General features: G+C 36.1%; 1 protein-coding gene across 3 annotated transcripts in view; it reads left to right on the forward strand.

The window, feature by feature from the left end:
- GPR158 (G protein-coupled receptor 158) overlaps window positions 1–21,769 on the forward strand; it is a 427,229-nt gene that overhangs the window by 380,446 nt on the left and 25,014 nt on the right. For all 3 annotated transcript variants that reach the window (XR_930512.4, NM_020752.3, XM_017016452.3), the window contains one exon: window positions 17,203–17,441. Coding sequence is in view for 2 of the 3 variants with exons in the window: in NM_020752.3 (NP_065803.2) it covers window positions 17,203–17,441 (239 nt within the window). In the remaining variant the exon portion in view is untranslated. The remainder of the gene's footprint in view (window positions 1–17,202; window positions 17,442–21,769) is intronic.

Below are 21,769 nucleotides of genomic sequence, written 5' to 3' on the forward strand. Positions count from 1 at the left end.
TTGACTTAGTATATACTGATGTGGGGCAGATCTAAAAGAACACCTAGCATTCCCATGATATGTGGGTTCACAGAACCCCCCTGCTAAGCAATTTTCTTTTACAGAAACTTGAGAAGGCAGTATCTCTACGCTCAGAATAGCCAGATATATTTTCAGGAGGCAGAGTGAGCAAATGTTTGAAATGAAAGGGGGTGAAAAAAGATTTAAAAACTTAATGCTGAAAGAACATTTTCCTATTTCCTATAATATGGTTTCTGAAGACTCTTGGGCTTTTCCTTTTTCTAAGGCTAATCAAGAAAAAAAAAACAAAATACTTTTTTTTTGTACTATGTTTCAAATGAATTTTTAAGCAAGCCTGTGAAAAGCTATCTTCTGGCTCTGGCCTGGGATTTGTCATTTCATGCATTATTCAGTACTCTTTGCTCTGGGTACAACCCTTAGCTGTTTTCTTCACTGTCCTCATTAGCACCAAATATTTACAGTTTGGGGGAAGGTTTCTATTTTAAATGTTTTAGTTTGTTTCCTAGTAAAGTTTGAAAAGTGACTGGAAGACATTTACATTTATTTATTTTATGTATTCTTATAAGGATACGTAAATGCAGCTTAGCTTGTGACAACCACTAGGTGACAACAGAGAGTTTAAGATGGCGTCTTAAACTGAAGTGCCTGAAGTGCAGTTATTCGACTTGGTTGATTGCGTGTAGACTCATCTGCCTCAACAGACCACAGAACAGTGTTGCTTAGCCCTCGTTTATGAAGGCCAAAATATAAATGCCTCTGGAATCCAGAAGATTCCTCTAATAAAAGTGTTCTTCCATTGACCCCACCCAGCACACAGGTGGATGCTGTTTAAGATCCTAAGTCATGACCCCAAGGGTTTTAACGTGAAGCAGTTTCAAAACGGTTTTAGCCAGTTTCCCACCTCAGCCAAAATAATACACCAATAAAGCATCTTTTGAACATGTAGCTGTGAACATTGCATTCTGACTAGAAAATGGAAAGACCTTGCCATGTGAATCCTGGTAATGATATGGATTTCAGGCCCTCCTTTCTGCTGAACTCATGGAGGTTTCTGTCTTTACTGGCTGCCTACTCTGGGGTGCAGAGTATCTTTAAGTGGAGAATTACTCATAGCGACATTTCTTAAGAACCACGGGATTCACCAGAAAAACAGGACTCATTCTTAAGCTTCTGAGGAAGGTCTCTTTCCCAGTCAATGAGTGTACTATTTGGACAGGAAGCTGAGCAAGTTCGAAAGCCAAGGAAAGTCTGCTAGCCGCAGAGGTGATTTGGAAAATATCCAAGCCTTACCTCATACACCCACGCTTCAGATATACCAGTAGAACAGCCAAACATCTTAAAGAAAATTAACATGCTCCAGATGAATGCTTAGAGGATTAAGGATTGAAGTGACCTTTCAGAACTAACTCTCATACTAGCATTTAAAAACGTTGAAAAAAAGTTTTGTAAGTGGCTTGACTTGACTTTCTCTTTTCCTGTTTATTAAAGTGCCACCCTAGGCTTTTTGAGATGAAGATTTAAGGTTTCCCTAAGGACATTTTTATCATTTTAAATTGTACTTAACAGGAAAGATCAAAAGTCCTTTGGCTCTTAACAAATATAAATTTTCTTCATGATTTTATTAATCGAGGAAGCACTAGTGTGGAATGCACCACAAAGACCCATGCTGGTGCCCAGACCGTTTTGTGTGCTATCTCTACTCTAGCTAAATCTCAGAAACTCTGTGTAGTTATGGGTCTTAGTTTTACAAACCCTACCTATTTGTCATTTTCATCATTCATATGCTTGGAAGCACAGAAGGGAGGCCCTTGAAACCTGAGGAATAAGTAGGCTGTGACCTCTCACTTCCTGCATTCGTCTTCTCTTCCTTGGCATACTTGCAGTCTGTCTGGAGCTTCCTGGAGCTCCCTCGGAATCTTGCACACAGCTTATCATTAGGAATGGCTCCCCCAGAAACCATGAAAACAAGCATGAAACTTTCTAAGCTCCAAAGAGTCACTCTTTAATTGTAAAATCTCTAACTGGCTAGAAGATGAGATAGTTCCCTCTGCTCATTCCTCCCCACCCTGCCGCCTCCAGTGACTTCTGATCCTACTGTCCTGTCCGGCATGCAGAGGCCCCCAGCTAAATGGCCTAATGCTTTTTAACTGGGTTGGTATATACATTTAACTTTCAGAAACGAATCAGGGATTTCTGCCATGAGTAGCTCCATTTATAGATTAGTATGTTTAGTCTACTCATAGAAGTAAGAGATTTGGGAAATATAAGCATACTGACAAGACATGTTTTATTAACTAGAGGTCTGTATTCATATAAAATCTGTAACATCAATGAGTACCTTTTGAATAAAAATAGAAATAAAAGCAAAATCATTTTAATGGTCCTTCCTTTCAGAACACATTAACTATTGGATATGAATAAAATCAGAATGTAGTTCACTCAGAACTAAGGAGACTTAAAGCTTTACTTATTTTGTCCCATCTGCAGATGTCCTACTTGCTTTGTTGTATGACACATGACTTTGAAATACACTTTATTTAACATCTACGTTCAAAGCTTTTCAATCTGGAGCTTCTCTTTTTAAAAAATATTTATATACATGTTCTAATTTCTAATTACAGCATTACTATTTTATGTCTAGATTTCTGAAAAGAGGCTTGGTTAAAATATGTAGTTTAAGAGCTATGTGCCATATCTGAAACCCAAGATTTTTTGTTGCCTGAGTTGTTTTGGTTTCAACTTGTTATATGTGCGTGCGCACGTGAGTGTGTGTTCCAACCAACTTTAAACTTATAAAAACCCATCTGGTAATGCAGAATTAGTACTTAGCAGACTATAGCTGATAAACACTTTATTATCCTAATATTCTTCGTTAGCAACTCTCTGTTCAAATCTTGTATACCCTCAAGTGGAAATATTTCTTTTCTTTATGTGAAGTCGGTAAGAGAATGAGTGTGAAATGAGATTACTTCAGGCAGCAAAACGGGGAGGGGCAGGTTTCTTTAAAGGTCAAGGTGAGGCTCTGCTCCTGCAAGCTGTTCACTGGCATCACCTGCCTGCTGTTGCACCTCCCTGCTGTCGCCTGGGCCCAGAGTCAGGGTCTTGGCTTGTTTTTGGACGGCTGCACCCATGATTTCTGTGATGTGCCAGAGGCCCACCTGGCTGCCGCTTACTCTGGTGCCCCTCACCCAGCATTTGTACATGCTCAGTCCAAAACAACTGAGTTGTGTTTTTATTTCCATTCAGTTCAAAATAATTTCAAACTTGATTTATCTTTGACCCATAAGGTAGTTAGAAGTGTGATTTTTTATTTTCCAAATATTAGGGGGATTTCCATGAACTTTTTGTTATTGATTTACAATTTCATTCCATTGTCGTGAGAGCACGTACCTTGTGTGACTTCAATCCGCTTACATTTATTGAGACTTGTTTGAAGCCCAGAATATGGTCTATCTTGGTAAATGTTCCATGGGCACTTGAGAAGAACGTGTTTTCTTCTATTTGGGAGTTGTTTGGTAATGCTGTTCAAATCTTCGATATCCCTACTCATTAGCTCTCTATTTGTTCCATCAGTTATTGAGAGAGGGGTTGGAAATTTCTGATTTGTCTATTTTCTTCACTGTTCTTTCAGTTTTTGCCTCAGGTATTTTGAAGTTTCATTCTGAGATGCATAAACATTTAGAGTTGTTATGTCCTTTTCATGAATCAAACCTTTTATTATTATGAAATGACCTTCATCATCCCTTGCCATATTCTCTGCTCTGAAATCTATTTTGTCTGGTGCTAATATAGCCACTCCAGTTTCCTTTTGATTGGTGTTAGCATGGTATTTTTTTCCATTATTTTACTTTTGGCCTATTTTTGTCTTTATAGTAAGTATTCAGTGGGGTAAGACACTCTCATATTATGCTGGAGAGAGAGTAAATTGATACAGCTCATCTGAAATATGTAGCAATGTGTATCAAGAGCTTTTTAAAAGCTGGGTTATTTTACTTTTTGAAATCTAAAGAAAAAAATATTAGGTGTGAACAGAGATTTACCTGCAAGAATATTCATTAGAGTGTGGCTTATAATAAAGAAATAATGATTTAAGTAAATGGTATGTGCTATCAAAGATCATGTTGTTTACAAAGATAGAATGTTATGAGAATGCTCAGAAAGCCATATTATGAGAAAAGCATTACATAAATGATATATTATAATCCTAATGTTATAAAATATTTTATGTACAGAAAAAATACTAGAGAGTAAAAACCATCCAAGAGCTAATAGTGTTTATAACTAGTGCTATTTAGATGGTTTTAATTTCTTTACATTTGTTTATAGTTTTATACTTTGACCATGTATTACAGTTTTAATGGAGGAATCAGTCTGCACTAAAAAGTAGATGAGGCCTTTTGTCACAATATGTAACTCTTCTGATCTGTAACAGGTAAGGTGGTGTGGAAGACACTTTGGGACCTGCAAGGAAATTTAAGTCAAGAGTTTTTAATATAGTGGTGTGCGAAGGGAAAACAAACAGCACAACCACCAAAGAGTAATCACAATAGCACTTTATAATTAGTTTCCAAAAGTTTCATTGACAGTGTGACTGTAAGTTATTCTACTTCAATATTAATAATACTATCTAACCAGCTATAAATATGAGCAGTCAAACTCAGCAACTGTTACGTACTCACACAGTGAACCTCCTAAATTACTTTTGTGGTTGCATCACGTATTTGTGTATTTTACTGTGGGTTAAGGTTAAGGTAAATGCAATGGTAAGTAGGATTTTTTAAAATATTTTTATTTTTCATTTTATTTTTATTTTTTTGAGACGGAGTCTCGCTCTGTCACCCAGGCTGGAGTGTAGTGGCGTGATCTCGGCTCACTGCAAGCTCCGCCTCCCGGGTTCACACCATTCTCCTGCCTCAGCCTCCTGAGTAGCTGGGACTACAGGTGCCCGCCACCATGCCCACCTAATTTTTTGTATTTTTAGTAGAGACGGGGTTTCACCATGTTAGCCAGGATGGTCTCAATCTCCTGACCTTGTGATCCGCCTGCCTTGGCCTCCCAAAGTGCTGGGATTACAGGTGTGAGCCATTGCGCCCATCCTAAAATATTGTTTTTAAAACTTCTTTTATATTGGACTAACACCTAAAGTACATAAAGATATTAATGTGCAACTACGCTTTGAGAATTAAATATTTGTCTTTTTGTAAATGATCACACCAGTTAAATGGGAAGTTCATATTTACAAAGAATTTTGTCATCTTTTTGTGGTTCCCTGTGGTCTAATACCATTCTTAATCTATAATAGTATGCTAAAGAGGCTGCAAAAGTAGAGCAATTAGGTCTTATAAAATTAGATGGAAACTTTCCTTGGAAATGGAAACATTTTCGCTATTAGTCATTTCTACCACATTTCAATCTGGACAATCTTGATTACAGAGAAAACAGATTCAAAAAGCTTTCCCTTGTGATATCTCTAGGAAATACTTAATGTGTGTTTTTTTTTAAGAGAAAAGGCTTTTTTAGACCACAAAAACTAAATCTTGAATTAAGAGTAAGAGCAGATCAAGATTATTTAAATATTAACATTAAGATGGTGTCATTTTAGGTATTTTCTATCTACAAAACCATGCAATTTTGTGATGCAATTAGTGATGTTTCCCTTTTGAGACTGTAGTAAAATTGCTCATTTAAGTAATGATGCTATTATGCAACCATCTGTAATAAATTTGTTTTTATAGTCTATCTGAATTCATGTTCTTGAATACCAAAATGTTATATTAAATAGTAAAACATTACATTTAAAAAAATAATCCTGGAATAAAATTTAAAATTATTTCTGCTGATTAATCAGTGCTAGATAATTGAGATTTAAGGACAGAATTTATTCTAATAGGTACTTGGCAGACCATGGTCCTAGAATTCATATTTACTCTGGATATAAGGAAATAAACAAGCATGTAATTCCCAAACTGAATAATCTGGCTTCTTCTTGATCTTCAGAATAATTGACCATCTGCTTATTGTTTGAAATATCTTTCTGTAGTAAGCTGGGAGTAGGGGAAGCAGTGGGGAGGGACCAATAGTATCTATATTTAAATCTGTTTCTCTGTAAGCTTTTATGCCAAACTTTTCAAAACTAAACATTTTTGGAGCACAAACACCCAATGGCCATCAAATGTCCTTTATTTGCAATATTATTACAACTGAAAAGGCTTCAAAGGAGTGGTTTAGGGAACAGGTGTTTATGCTTAGTTAATATTAAGGTCTGATTTGAGTTCATTCAGCATTGTTGGCCTATATTTGAGGGAATCAACCATGATATGTTATCACATTTCCTCAGTCTTTTCTTACAGATCTACGATTACACAATGAACTCTGATGAATAAGGAAGGGTGCATATAAGTTTAAAATAGTCATACCGCAGGTAAGAAATTAGTGCAGAACCCAGGTTTTAAGCCTGCTGAATCTCACATATGGGAGGAGAACAACCACCAGATGGCTGAAGATACCCTGGGGCTATAAGAGACTGGGTCTGCAATGTTCAGGAGGATGCAGAAGAATTTTTTTTTTTTTTTTTTGCAAGAAAGAGAACCATTGTATATTTTGTATTGAGGTAAAATTTACATAACAAAATTCACCATTCATAGTATTCTCTTATAATTCTTTTTATTTACATAAAGTCAGTAGAAATATCCCCACTTTCATTCCTGACTCTAATGAGTCTTTTTTCTTGCTCAGTCTAACTAAAGGTTTGTTAATTTTGTTTATCTTCTGGAAGAACCAACTTAGATTGTTTTTAATTGTGTCTGCTGTTTTTCGACTCTATATTTCAATTATTTTCACTCTAATATTTATTATTTTCTCCCTTCAGCTTGTTTTGGATTAAATTTTCTCTTCGATTTTTAGTTCCTTAAAGTAAAAGATAAGGTTATTGACTTTTTTCATATAAACATTTGCAGTTATAAATTTACCTCAATCACTGCATTTACTGCAATCCATAAATTCTGATATGTTTTTATTTCCATTTATGTCAGCTTATCTTCTGTTTTCTCTTTGGTACTTCCTTAACCCATTCGTTAAGAGTATTTTGTTTAATGTTTACTTATCTGTGAATTTCCCAGTGTTCCTTCTGTTATTGATTTCTAATTCAGTTCACTGTGGTCAGAGAAGATACTTTGTATGATTTCAATTTTCTGAAATTTATTGAGACTGGTTTTGTGGTCTAACATATGGTCTGTCCTGGGGAATGTTCCACGTGCACTTGACAAGAACGTGTACTCTGCTGCTGTGGAGATGAATACCCCGTGTTTGTCTGTAAGGTCTAGTTGGCTTATGATGCTGTTCGAGTCCTTTGTCTCCTTATTGTTTGTATGTGCAGATATCCAATCCATTACTGAGAGCAGGACCTTGAAGTCTCCAACTTAGATTATTATTGAACTATCTTTTTCTCTCATCAGTTCTGTTCCTGTTTGCTTCATATATTATGGGGATCTGATGTTTAGTACAGATATGTTCATAACTGTTCATCTTCTTGAGGGATTGACCCTTTTATAATTATATAATGTCATTTTTTGTCTCCAACAAATGTTACCTTATAGTATATCTTATCTGATATTAATATAGCTACTTTGGTTATTATTTACGTAAAATATCATTTGCTGCCTTTTTATTTACAACCTATTATTTCATTAGATCTAAGGTAACTCTTATAGAAAACATATAGTTGGATCATCTTTTTAAAAATCTCTTCTACCATTTCTACCTTTTAGTTTACATTTAATGTTATTACTCTTAAGGAAGGACTTGTTCCATTTTGGTTATTATTTACATAGAATATCATTTGCTACCTTTTTATTTACAAACTATTATTTCATTAGATCTACGGTAACTCTCTTATAGAAAACATATAGTTGGATCATCTTTTAAAAAATCTCTTCTACCATTTCTACCTTTTAGTTTCCATTTAATATAATTACTCATAAGGAAGGACTTGTTCCATTTTGTGATTTGTTTTTATATATTTTACATCCATTTTGTTTCTCAGTTCCACCATTACTGCCTGCTTGGTAAATCGATAGTTTCTAATATATCATTTTGATTCCCTTCTTGTTTATTTTACTACACGGTTTGGTTATTTTCTGAGTTGTTGCCCTGGAGATTACAGTTAATGCCCTAAATTTATAACAGTTTAGTTCAAATTAATACCAACTTTGTTTCAGACGTATACAAAAACTTTGCTCCTATTAACTTTTATGCTCCTCTTTTATGTTTTTATTGTTGCAAATTATATCTTTAAGCATTATGAACTCATTAACACAGATTTATACTTATTGTTTTATGCATCTGTATTTTATCAGAAGTTGCAAAAAAATTTTTAATAAACTTTATCTAATAAGGTTAATGTCTGGATGTCTTCAGGTATCGTTTCTATTAGTGTCTTTTCTTTTTTCGTGCTTATGGACCCTATAATCTTGTTTCTTTGCGTGCCTCATTTTTTTTTTAGAGGCTGAACATTTTGAATATTATATTATGGTAAATCCAAAAATCAGATTCTCCATCCTTTCCAGGCTGGTTTGTTAAGTGACTTTTATAGTCTGTATTCTTTGTTTTGTGTGGCCATTGAAGTCTCTTTTCTGTTGGGTTAGTAGTCAGCTGGTAATTCAACAGAGATTTTCATAAAGCTTGGACCAAAAAATACTTTTTAAAATCTGAATTCTTTGCAGATGAACTGCATGTTTGTGTGTTGGGTATGTCATCAACACACATGAGCCTCTATTTCCTGCATGTGCAGAGCCTGAGGTCGGCAGGAGATGAGAGCTTTGGGCCCTTCTCAGGCCTTTTGTGAGAATGTTCCAGGCTTCTAGATTCCCAGAAATATATTGGTACTTTTCAATGCTCTTATTCCCCAGATCATCTCATTTCCCATTCTTTCTTCCCAATCTTTTTGTTTAGTCGATTGTTTGTCTTAACCATTATTCATTGTCCCGGGTAGCATTGACTAATCCACTTGCCTTTAAACTTTTAGATAAATGACACCCGTTAGCTTTGTCAGCCCTAGGAAAATTAGCAGTTGGGTAAAACAAAAGCAAGCCCTTTGAGTCAGTCTTTCAGGGATCCACCAACCAGGCCAAAATAAACAGCAGTTCTTTGAAAATAAGGTCCATTGTGCTCCTCTAGTACTAGGTACGTGTCCTGAGCATGCAGATGTCTTGAAGGCCGCCATTGAGCTCAGGAGCATGAGACGGAATCAAAGAAAGTTGAAATGCTGCATAGCTTTTTTACTCAGATTCAGCTGTTTTTGTTTTTTCTCTCTTAAGTATCCCCTTCATTTCTATAAGCTCCTAAGTAGTTTCTAGAATTCCAAAAAAGTTGACTCTAACAGTTCTTGCTAGTGTGTTGATTGCTTTTATGGACTGATAGACTTTTGAAGTTCCCTATTCCATCATTTTTGAGATTGTATTTAAATTGCCTATTCATTTGTATTTACTGAGTTATAATGAACATGAAAACAGGTAGATAACTGCCATTTTCAGCACTGAACCTCTGATTTAGGAAAATACTGACACATAACAGGAGCTAATGTTTACTCTCACATCCTATATTGTTATCAAAATTCTTCCAAATTCCATTTTACCCTGCTTCTTCGAGTTTCTGGGATGCTGTATCAACCATAAAACTTTTTCTTGTTGGTCATAACCGTCAGAAGGACATGTTTAACTAATTGGTCAATTAAATCTTCTTGCCTTCATGTGCTAGATTCTGTAGGGGCTTAGAAAATAAACATCTCCCAACTTCAGGAAGATTTATAAGGGTACAGGAAATACCAACTGAATAATAGTGATAATTGGAGAAAATTTTGTGGCCTGGGACTATCAGACAAAGATGTAAATTGGATGAGGTTCCTGAGATGAATGTACAAGGATAAATGGGATTTGAATCAGTTTAGACAGACGGCATGGCATTCAAAGGTACGAGCATCCAGATTAGAGAGAAAAGAGCATATAGGAAAGTAGAGGGATTGTGGCATGTTTGAAAGGCAGATTCCTGTTGTGCTTTTAAAAGATGATATGGCCCTGAACCAGCTGCTAGATAGTTCTATTTTAGTAAAATACTGTAACTGAAAAAAGTACTCACATGAGAGTAAGAAGATAGGAGTTTTGAGATGATTTTGCTACTGACTGTTTTGCTTTAGATAAATGACTCCCCTCACTGGGCCTCAGAATTGTCTTTTACACATTAGGGGGATTAGAACAGATCATGCCGAGAGGCATTTCAGCTCTAACTGTTAACGCTTAAGGTTCTTGCCTAGCCACGCCAAAGAACTGGTGTGGCGGCTGACCGTGGTGAGTGATAGAGACAGGGGACCGAGGGCAAGAAAAAGCTGTAGGCTTTATTGAGCCAAGTGAAAGTACAAAGCTTCCACAGTGTGGAAGGGGTCTCGAATGGGTAGCCAGAGTTAGATTATACAATTGCCTTTTAAACTCCTTAAGGCCAGAAATATGTGTGGCGGGAAGATGTTACTAGAGCGAGAAACAAAGGCAGTAAATTATTTTGTGACATGTCTTAGATTTTGAGGAAAACCGGAATTGCAACTTAGGTTTTATCTACTTTATAACCCTGCAGTGGCATGGCAAAGGAGACAGGATCTTACAGGACTTTATAAAGTATGTTTACAAGGAATTGGAATTGGGAGCATAGATAAGTTCTGCTGGTCACAGAAAAATGGGCAGTTAACATTCCTTTTAGTTTTGGGGGAAGGTAAGGGAGAGAGGACACAGGGAAGCTTACAGCAAAATTTTCTCTGTTTATAGCTTTCTTGGGGAAGAAAACCACATACACAGATCCTGGTGTTAGGAATATTTTAAGCATATATCTTCAATATTATTCATCCCGGACCGAAGTAAGTCCTGATGCAGGAAATGAGTGAGTTTCACAGCTTTCTGAGCCCCTACTCAACCCAGGAAGCCCAGCTGGCCCCTCCTCTCATAACCATCTAAGATTCTACTTTAATAGTCTTGCAGCCCTTCTTTCCTTCCTTCCTTTTTTCATTATTCTTCCTTATTCCGTCTACCTTCAATTAGAGAAAAAAGGAAGGTGAGAAAAAAGGAAAAACAATGTGAGATATGAGAACTCATGCAGCTCACAGAAACTGACAAAAATTAGTCAATATATTTAGAACCCAGTTGTGAATTTTCTTTCTTGAAATAGCAATAACTTAATATACTCACAATAAACTTGTAGAACTTCATGTCTGATAAGTGTCTAAAACCTATTTCTATGCCAGTGATGCCAGTCTTTTTAGGTGTTTATCTAAAATTCATCCACTGACCAAGAAGTAACTTTACTTTACTTCTGAAAATGAAACTTTGAGAAATTGATGAAAAGTTTAATGAACATGGGATTTGTCACCATTAATAGCAGAATGACAGAAACCTCCAGCACTTTTTGAATTGTTAGCTCTCAGGACTCTTTTGTCAATAATTGATTGGCTTTACTCTTACGAGAAGTGTCACCTCATACCTTTTATCACAAACATTTATTCTCTGGAATTTCTACGAACATGGTAAGATTAATAGAAATTAGACTCTAAAGAAGAAGCTCAGGACATTAGGATTATTCCAATTAAGGTAATAGGACAGAAGACTGGATGGCTTGAGGATATATATTTTCATTCCTTTTTTTATAAATAGAAGAGATACTGCAAAATCACATACAAATGCAAATGTTCTGAAAATGGAAAGCTATTATTAGAAGCCTTGCATTCTGTCATCGGCATAATAAAAACGGAAAAATCTACCTGGCAGGCTAAAGCGGTCAGCCTATTGGAAAGGCACCTGCACCAATCTTAGATCTGCTAGGAAAAACTGTTTAGAGCAGCGGTTCTCAAACTTTACCCTTCATCAAAATTACCTGAAAAGTTTGTTAAAATAGATTGTTGGACCATCCCTCCAGAGTTTCAGAGTCAGTAGGTCTGGGTGGGATCTAAGAGTTCTCATTCATAACAAGTTTCTGGGTAAAATTGATGCTACTTGTTTGGTAAGTGCTGGTGTCGATGGCAAGTAACATCTAAACGGAGACATGAAGGAGATGTAGGATTTAGCAAAACACTGTGTTTGTATAGGTGGGAGGAGGGATGGTGAGGAAAGCTGAGGGCAAAGGCTTAGATAGAGGATAACTGCATGTCATCCAGAGGGACCTGCAGAACTATAGGATGTAGAGAGTGCAGAGAGATGCACCTGCAGAGGTGAGGAGGAACCAATTATTAGAAGTGTTTTACCATACTAAATTTTGGTGGAGAGCCAGTGATTGTAAACAGGGAAGCAATACGATCAGATGCACAATAGTGAAAGACCATGTTGTCCATCGTAGGGTGTGGATTGAAGGTGGGCAAGACCAGTAAGGTGACTAGCTAGGAAGCTACTATAGGAATGAGTTGGTGGCCAGGAGCTGTATAGTGGCAGTGAGGATGGAGAAAAATAGAAGAATTTGAAAGATATTTAAGAGGTAGACATTAAATTCTTAATGATTCATTTGATTGCTGGAATGTGGATAAGGGAGAAAAATCAAAGTTTATTCCTAAGCTTCTGCTTTGTACAGTTAGATAGGGCTGTAACACAACAGCAAAGGTAGGTTGGAGAACAGCAAAGTGGGTTGGAGAAGGAAGGAATGGAGAGGGGGTGATTTTGTTTCAGGCCCTGCTGATGTCCAGTAAGACACTGAGTATACAGGGACTGAACTCAGGAGAGTGATCTGAACTGGAGATATAGAGGTGGGACTTGCTGGCATATAGATAACTGAGATGGGGAGCCGTTGGAGTTTCTTGGGTGCAATATGTAGTGATAATATAACATGGCCACATTTAGGAGATCCTTGTAAACACTGCCATTCAAGGGACAGACTGAGGTAGAGAAGTCTGCAATAGAGACTGAAAAGGAGCTAGCCAAGAAGTAGGAAGAAAGTAGGAAGAGAGAAGTAGGAAGGAAGTAGGAAGAGAGAACTAGGAAGAAAACCAAGAGAATGTGACATCATGGAAGCTGAAGGTTCCAGCCACACCAAAAGCTGGGGAGAGACCATGTAAAATAAGAAGTGAACAATATCAATTAGCTCTTGGAGGAAGGTCATGGATAACCCAAGTACAAGTTCTTATGGTGAGCTATATAGCTTGAACCAGAAATGTACAGAAAATTAGAAAACAGAGGCAGATGAATATAATGACAATTTCTGGGTTGTCCTTTTTCTTTGTCATTTCAGAATGATTTCCATGAATTTATCTGCTATTAATGAAAATTGAATGTACACTTTATATATGCCTTTTCATATGAAATTTTGGAAGTTTCTTGCAGTCTTCCCATATATGTTGGGCTTTCCTTCAGAAATAGTGAAACATTCTGAACTCATGGTCTCCTGAAGACTTATCTATGAAAAAATAGTGGAAAAGTCATCCATATAGGAAGTCCAATGATTTGAATTTTTTTCTACAGTTGTATTTCATACAAATGCATGTCTACATATTCTTTTTTATAGTCTGACCTCTAGGCTTCTTTTAAGACAATCCTAGAAAAATACATCTTATTCCATTTTACAAAAACCAATATCCTGAAATGCTTAGATTGAAGTGTAGAGTTGTGTTTATTATGTTTTCTATTATTTGAAAGCCAGTAAAATCAATAATGGAAGACTCATGAGGGATTTTGCTTTGGTTTTGCTCTCTTGAAATGAGATTATAGGGATCTGACAATCTTGAATTCTCAAGCTATACAATAAATACCCAAAGGGCCATCTAGAAAACATGAACATTTTTGATAATTTGGAAATGGGATTTCTTGAGTAAAAGGTTACTGTAACTGGAATCGTAGATTTCCTTTGCAAAAGAAAAAACTTAACTGGTTAAGAAGTATTTTAAAGGAGACAGTTAACAAATCCACTATTAGCTCTCTATGAGATTTAAAGTTTCAATGGGAATTGTGAAACTCAAGTATCAAAAAAAATATTTATCACATTTTAACCATGGAAAGAATATATAGTTCATAACTATTTTTTCTCTGAAGCACTGTTTCTCAACCTGATGAAAACTCCTTGCCTTAACTTGAAAACTCCCTAGGAGTTGCTGGGTATTGAGAACCAAACTTTGCTTCCTGCCAACCAGTTCCCCCTACTGTCCCTACCTAAAGACACCTTGCATTTCCCTGCTTTTGATTCCCATCAATTAGAATATCCCCTTATATCTTTTCCACTTTCCTTCATTTCTACCTATTGATATCCCCCAAAGCCCAGATCAAATACTACCTGTTCTATTGGGTTAGTAGATTTGCTAGCCACATACAATATATAATGTTAGCTACTGCATATGGTAGCTATTTGCAAACTTACTTCTAGTTAAATTGTAAGTTTCTAGAGAAAAAAATTATATCTTATACCTTCCACATTGCCTAGCATGATGCCTAACATATGGCTGTCACTATATAAATGTTTGTTCGTTATATTTAAAATGTTTACATTAAGAGTAAAGCTAGAATTTGGAACCATTTTATGTTTTTCTGCCCTTGCCAAACTATGGAAGAAAAGTGGGTCAGGTTCTCTCTGGAGAATGTAGTCATTCAAAATTTAGAATTCATCCAGGTTCAACCAGAAACAAATATGTGTACATTATGATTACAACTTTCTGCTACAGAAAATAAGATTGGAACTGGCAAAAATATTAATTTTCCAAGAAATTTCTCTTATTTCTAAGGTAGAATTCTTGAATCTTTTAATCTGCTAATTACAATGGAAACCTTCTTATCCAATATAACTGGACTTCATATTATATTTGGTCAATTTGTTGAAGTTTTTTAAAGTAGAAAAGCATTTAAAAAGTATATAGATACTGTAATTTAAAACACAAATAATTACTCACCAGTCTTTTTGAAATAAGGCCTCTTTTTGACTATGGGTTTGATAGTTAGAGTTCATTGTTCTCTCTATAGCATAAATCACCAAAATGTATTATCTACTGCATTGTGTTAAATGTTTTTGAAGTAATCTGAGTGTCGAATTTTTCTAGGTTTTTGTTTATTGACCACTCTCTATTTTAAAATTTCTTCACTTCCACTAAGTTAGCTTTTTATTTTAATGTTTTATCTTTCCAAAGCATTCAAGAGAGGTTTCATAGAAATAAGTCTCCTTGCGTGGGCACGGTGGCTCTCGCCTGTAATAATCCCAGCACTTTGGGAGGCCGAGGCGGGCAGATCACCTGAGGTCAGGAGTTCAAGACCAGCCTGGCCAACATGGTGAAACCCCGTTTCTACTAAAAAAATATAAAAATTAGCCAGGCATGGTGGCACATGCCTGTAGTCCCACCTACTTGGGAGGCTGAGGCAGGAGAATAATCGCTTGAACCCAGGAGGTGGAGGTTGCAGTTAGCTGAGATCACGCCACTGCATTCCAGCCTGGGTGACAAAGTGAGACTCCATCTTAAAAAAAATAAAATAGAGTAGTCTCCTTTTGTTTCATAATCATGTATAATTATTTTATTTAATATTTAGTTATAACAGTGGGCATAATTTGGGAACAAATACACCTGATTCATAACAAATAGTAATTAAACTGGTTGGAGCAGAAGTGATTAGGCATAGTGAAGATATTACCTGCCAGTGTTAGCGTTCGCCAGTGTTAGCGTTCACTATGACATGGATGGCACTTAATATATTGCATATACAGAATGGAGAGTAACTGTTAATCTGGGGAACTGATGAGATGGAGCGTGGTTAAGAGATCTTCTGTTTTACTTGTATCTGTTACTATATTTCTGACGTTCCACAGAAAAATTGAGAAGTATTTTGTTAATAATTAAATAACTTTTCCCTCTGTCCTGAAGGACAGTGGGGTTAATTTAATGGATGTGTTGTGTTAATTCAGGGAGAATTGCCAAAGGTCTATATATGGAGGAAAAATATAGCATAGTACATCTAGGCTATTTCAGGTGTATTGGCTTCATTTCTGGATTTAGAATAATCTTTATAAAAAATTCATATGACTTAAAATTATTCAAAGAATGAAGTGAAGGAGAGAATAGAACATTGAGAAAATGTGTTTATTTTTATGCTTTATGGAAATTGATTACAGATACTCTCACAGTATCATAAACCACTCATGGTGGCTTATGTCAAATCATAATTTTGTGACATCAAATATCAGAATGGGATAGGGAGTTAAAATCAGCCGAGAATATTCTAGAAATGAAATTGAAGAATGGGTAGAGAATTCCTATAGTAAGGGTGCATTTTGTCTTCAGAAAATATTTAGAGATAGAACAGTGCTTAGATATCATCTAATCTAGTAGTTCTCAACTCTGGCTATTCATCTGAGATATATACAGAAAAAACTCTTAGTTTTTAAAAATCACATTTCCTATAGGTCATCCCAATTTTCTTCCTTAATGCAATGGCCTTAGTCTACCAAATGTTTAAATATTTCTTTCATTTTTATTATTACTTCATATTATTTTTGGTAATATGATAAAATGACCATGAAAGTAGGTAATATGAAATGATTTTCAGAAAATATCTTTAATAACATTCTACTATAAAAACAACTGGTTCAAGGAAGTTATTTGAGTTAGTATAATATTGTAAAATACAACCACTTACTTTCAGGACTATTTTTTGATCCCCCAGAAACCTTGTTTGAGCAATGTTTGCCTACGGATCTTTCTAAAGTCCTGAGAATTTTCCTTGAAATATTAAGACACGCTCAAAGACATCCCATTGTATATGAACCTATTGACTCAATGGACTCTAATGTAAGATATGTGTTTTACTACTGGAAGATAAACTAAGATAAAATTAAATAAAAATATGAGCAATACTGTTTCTGAATTTTCTCATGTTAAAACTCTGCATAAGCCAGGCACAGTGGCACGTGCCTGGAGTCTCAGCTACTTGGAAGGCTGAGGCGAGAGGAATGCTTGAGCCAGGAGTTCAAGGATGCAGTACACTATGATTGTGCTTGTGAATAGCCACTGCACTCCAGCATGGGCAACATAGCGAGACCCTGTCTCTACAACAAAAACAAATACAAAACAAAGCAAACTCTGATTAGCTGGATTTTGGTGGGTTTACATTTTACCTAGAAAAATAAGTTATTTTAGAGTTATACTTTCTGAATGTTAGGTTTGCTTTCACATTTGAACTTTTGCTTTTCTAGGGTTTTGAAGGTGTTTCTTTCACGAACGGCTCAACGAATTCCATATATGACTGGCGGACGGGTCATGAGGATGCTGGCAGTAATACTCTTGGTAGTGTTTTGGTTTCTCATTGGCTGGACTTCATCTGTGTGCCAGAATTTGGAGAAACAGATTTCACTTATTGGCCAGGGGAAAACATCCGATCACCTCATCTTCAATATGTGCCTCATTGACCGCTGGGACTACATGACAGCAGTTGGTATGTGGTCACTTGTTTCGTATGATGGTCTTACCATTTTTCAGTAGCATTACAACTGACTTCTTTAAAAGTCTTGCCAGACTCTTTAGTAAAGCCTAAACTAATCTCACCTAATGTGATTCTGGTAAGATAACATGGAAATGGCAGTAATGGCATGTGAGATGCAAACTTTTTCTGGAAGTTTCTATTGTTTTTCAAAGGTATATAGCTTTGTTGATAAAATGTAATCAAATAAATCAGAAAGGAGAAACGAACAATGGCAACTTCTGTGTATAAAGAGCTTACTTTTCTCATTCTTATCAATTGCTCCCCATTTGATTAATATTGGCTATTCTCTTGATTTATTTCCTTACTTGGGAGAAAAAAGGAAGCACGCTGGTTTTTTAAATAAAATGTTGGCCCTATAATGTATCAGACTTGATATGTAGGGCAGTCTTTGTAAAAATATTGTCTCTGCAAAATTTCTGATTAATCTATCTTTCCTTTGCTGACCTCAAAAGACAACTTATTTATAATTCTCTGGAGGTTTAGAATTACACAAAGACTAAGCCATGCTCCATGAGTGTAGTAAGTGCTACGTGGCTGAGAACCTGGAGAACTTTGAAGAGCTGCATCATGGCTTGGGCCCAAAACACGGATTATTTTTCTGGCAGCCCAGTGTTTTGAAAAAAGGAGGAAAACACATAGGAATTTTTCTGTTGCTCATATTAGTCTATTTTAAACTACGTCCCTAAACATACAACAAAAGGGATATTTTATTGTTCCCCTCAGTAAGCCACAGGACAAACCTTAATTGTATTTGGCAGATATAAAAGATAGAAACATGAGTTTGATTCCCATTTTTTGTCTCCCTCATATTTTGCAGTTGTTGGCTAAATAGTCTTTTGCTGGAAGCTAATAAAATGTGTATTTAGTTTAGAGTTCAAATGGAGGAATATTTTTCTGGGCAGGATATTTCAGGAGTCTTATAAACCTGATATCTGTAATAGTGAAGCATATGGGTATGTAAAGGGAATGATTATAATATAAAGCTTATTATATTTTGGGTAATATAACAGAAGATAAATCACAGCACTAAGGTAGGAAGCGACTCTGATCTTGACTTTAGTCTGGATATGAAAATTAAATTGTATAGATAAAAAATTTCTACTCACCCTGACATTATTTTATGCTCTCAGTGCAGGTTAACCAGATAGGAAAAATCATTTCCTTGTATTCTTATGAAGCAAAGGCCACTAGTTTTTATTTTTCTGTTTTACAAAAAAAAAAAAAAAAAAAAAAAAAACCTCAAAATACATGATGACACAAACAAGCAGATAGCATGGCCTATTCACCAAGAAAGTTTTTATGCATTGGAATTGAGATGCATTTGAGACCTTTAAAAAATTTATTTTGCATTCCAAAGAGGATCATATTTGTGATTTCTATGTAGAAATATATAGAATTATATAATCGATAGTAACCTGTATAAAGTCATTATTCCTTTCATTAGATAGCTTATTATTGATTCACATAGATGCATGAGAATTATTAAAAGTTATTAAAAAGCAAAGTTAGGTGGTGAAGATTCTTGGTGCAGTAGTAGTTTAGTAAAAGGATAAGCAGTTTGGACCAGAACTCAGGAACCTTTTATAAAGGACAAGTTCTTTAACCATGGGTAATGTTTATATTACTGTAAAGAGGTGTAAAGAACATTCATTTTATAAGAACAGTGAAGGTCTGGGCGTGGTGACTCACGCCTGTAATCCCAGCACTTTGGGAGGCCGAGGTGGGTGAATCACAAGGTCAGAAGTTTGAGACCAGCCTGACCAACATGGTGAAACACCGTCTCTACTAAAAATACAAAAATTAGCCAGACATGGTGGTACACTCCTATAATCCCAGCTACTTGGGAGGCTGAGGCAGAAGAATCGCTTGAACCCAAGAGGCGGAGGTCGCAGTAAGCCGAGATCATGCCACTGCACTCCAGCCTGGGAGACAGAGTGAGACTTTGTCTCAAAGAAATAAAAAACAAAAAAAATAGTGAAGGATGGGCCAGGGGCAGTGGCTCACACCTGTAATTCCAGCTACTCTAGAGGCTGAGGTGTGAGAATTGCTTGAACCTGGAAGGTGGAGATTGCAGTGAGCTGAGATCACACCACTACACTACAGTCTGGGCAACAGAGCGAGACTCCATCTCAAAAAAAAAAAAAAATAGTGAAGGATGGAAGTGGGTGGAAATTGTATGAAACATGGAGGAAATGCCTACCTAGAAAATAAGATAATGATGGAATACATTGTGAGTAATGCTAGGTGGTTGAGTATATTGTGAGTTTATTAAGTATACTGTTAATAATACTGTATGGTTAAGTTTATTGAAAAAGTCTTAGAGGAATTTAGAGAAGCAGAAAAGTGATATAATGAATCGGTAAATTCAATCAAGATGACTATAAGGATGTATTTTGGTTTTTTTGTTTTTTTAAGTGAAATGCACCAAACTCACCAAATTCAGGGGTTTGGGAGTTGGAATCATTAGAAGGGAGAAAGAGCGGCTCTCAAAGTGTGGTCCCAGAACCCGCAGCAGCGGCATCACCTGGGGACTTGTTAGAAATGCAGATTCTCAGAGCTCACTCTGACTTCCTCAATCAGACACTCCCGGATAGTGGAGCTCAGCAATCTGTGTTTCGTAAGTGTTCCAGGTGATTCTCATATTACTCTAAAGTACAGAACTGCTGACTCCACGGAGGGAGTCAGATGAACTTATGAGAACATAAAAATAACTAATCTCAATAGTGCCCTGGCCATTCCATTCATTCTTACTGTTCCCCGATCAAACACTAGAACATTGTTTTCAATTATTATTTCAAATCCTCTTTTCATACCTCCAAACTCTCCATGTTTCCCTTTTCTCTTAGATGACTTCTACTTGAAAAAAAATAAACAGGAGCCATAACGTAGAAATGTCTTCAAATTCCTGCCTTCATATCTATAAATCTTCCCATATCCACATTTATTCTTATCTTTTCTCCTTCATATTATCTAAGGTAACACCACAACCTGTGCCAGACTCATCTAACATTTTGGGCCCCTCATCTCCAGTGGCCACTCTCACTTTATATGAACTTTCTGTTATCTAAAACTCCCCTACCTCCAAAGTCATTCATTGAAGACATTGAAGAATTCTGTTGTTGTTTTTTTTTTCCAGTAGCTTTTGGGGTACAGGTGGTTTTGGTCACGTGGATGAATTGTATACTGGTGAAATCTGAAGTTTTATTGCACCTGTCACCCAAGGGAGTGTACATTGTACCCAGTCTGTAGTATTTTATCCCTTATCCCCTAACCCCTTCTGAGTCTCCAGTGTCCATTATACCACTCTGTATGCCTTTGTGTGCCCATAGCTCACCTCCCACTTATAAATGACGATGTACGGGATTCGGTTTTTCATTCCTGAATTATGAAGAACTCCTTTCTGATCACAACCCATTCCTAGCTCATTTACTCCCTCTACAATAGCTCTTTAGTAACATAGACTGTTTTCATTGTACTTTACTCCTCCTAAATTCTGCTCTCCTCCAGAGAGAAAACTTACTTACCAGGCAGCACATTTTTCCACTTGCAGTAATGGAACTATGAAAAGAAAATGGGCATTTTTAAAAGACATTAATTTTGAATAATACTGGGAAAGAGGACATAGAGAGTAATGACGACCCTGAGATAGATAGTGCAAAAGAAAATGAAGATTCATAGCGTGAGATGGCTGCAGGGCATGCGGTTCCTTAGGCAATAACCAGGTCTCAGTTAAAGAGGTACAGAGAAGCTAAGAGAAGAGATTGATTATAGTGGTAGGATCTAGGTCATGGCTTCAGGAATGAGAAGTATCAAAACTTAAGAAGCAGAAATTAAACTAATACCCCTAAAGGTGTTAGGCAATAACATTAGGGTCTCTTAGAAAATCAAGACTCGTGATGAGAGTGCAGGGACCAAGAAGAGGAAGTTAAATTTTTGATGGTGTTTTTGTCATCTCACAGTCATTGCTTTTGTCCTATAAACTACTGTAACACCTTAATTCCCAAAGTGTGCTCATCCCATAGTGACAGTGTTCTCAAAAAAAAAAAAAAAAAGTCAGGGCACATAATTTTAAAAAATAATATTTGGAATTAGGACTGTCTTAAGACATCTGAGACATGTGGCTGTTGTAATTATTTTTCACACTATCCTAATAAAAGTTTTCATTTATTTCTCTTTCAGCATGCAGCATCAATATTTAACCTCTTAATTTAATGGTTTCTAACGTGTAGTGTGTGCCTTTTTACAGTCTCTTTATAGAGCTCTATAAGTAACATGTTTTT

Source organism: Homo sapiens, chromosome 10 (assembly GCF_000001405.40).
Source record: "Homo sapiens chromosome 10, GRCh38.p14 Primary Assembly".
NCBI lineage: Eukaryota > Metazoa > Chordata > Mammalia > Primates > Hominidae > Homo > Homo sapiens.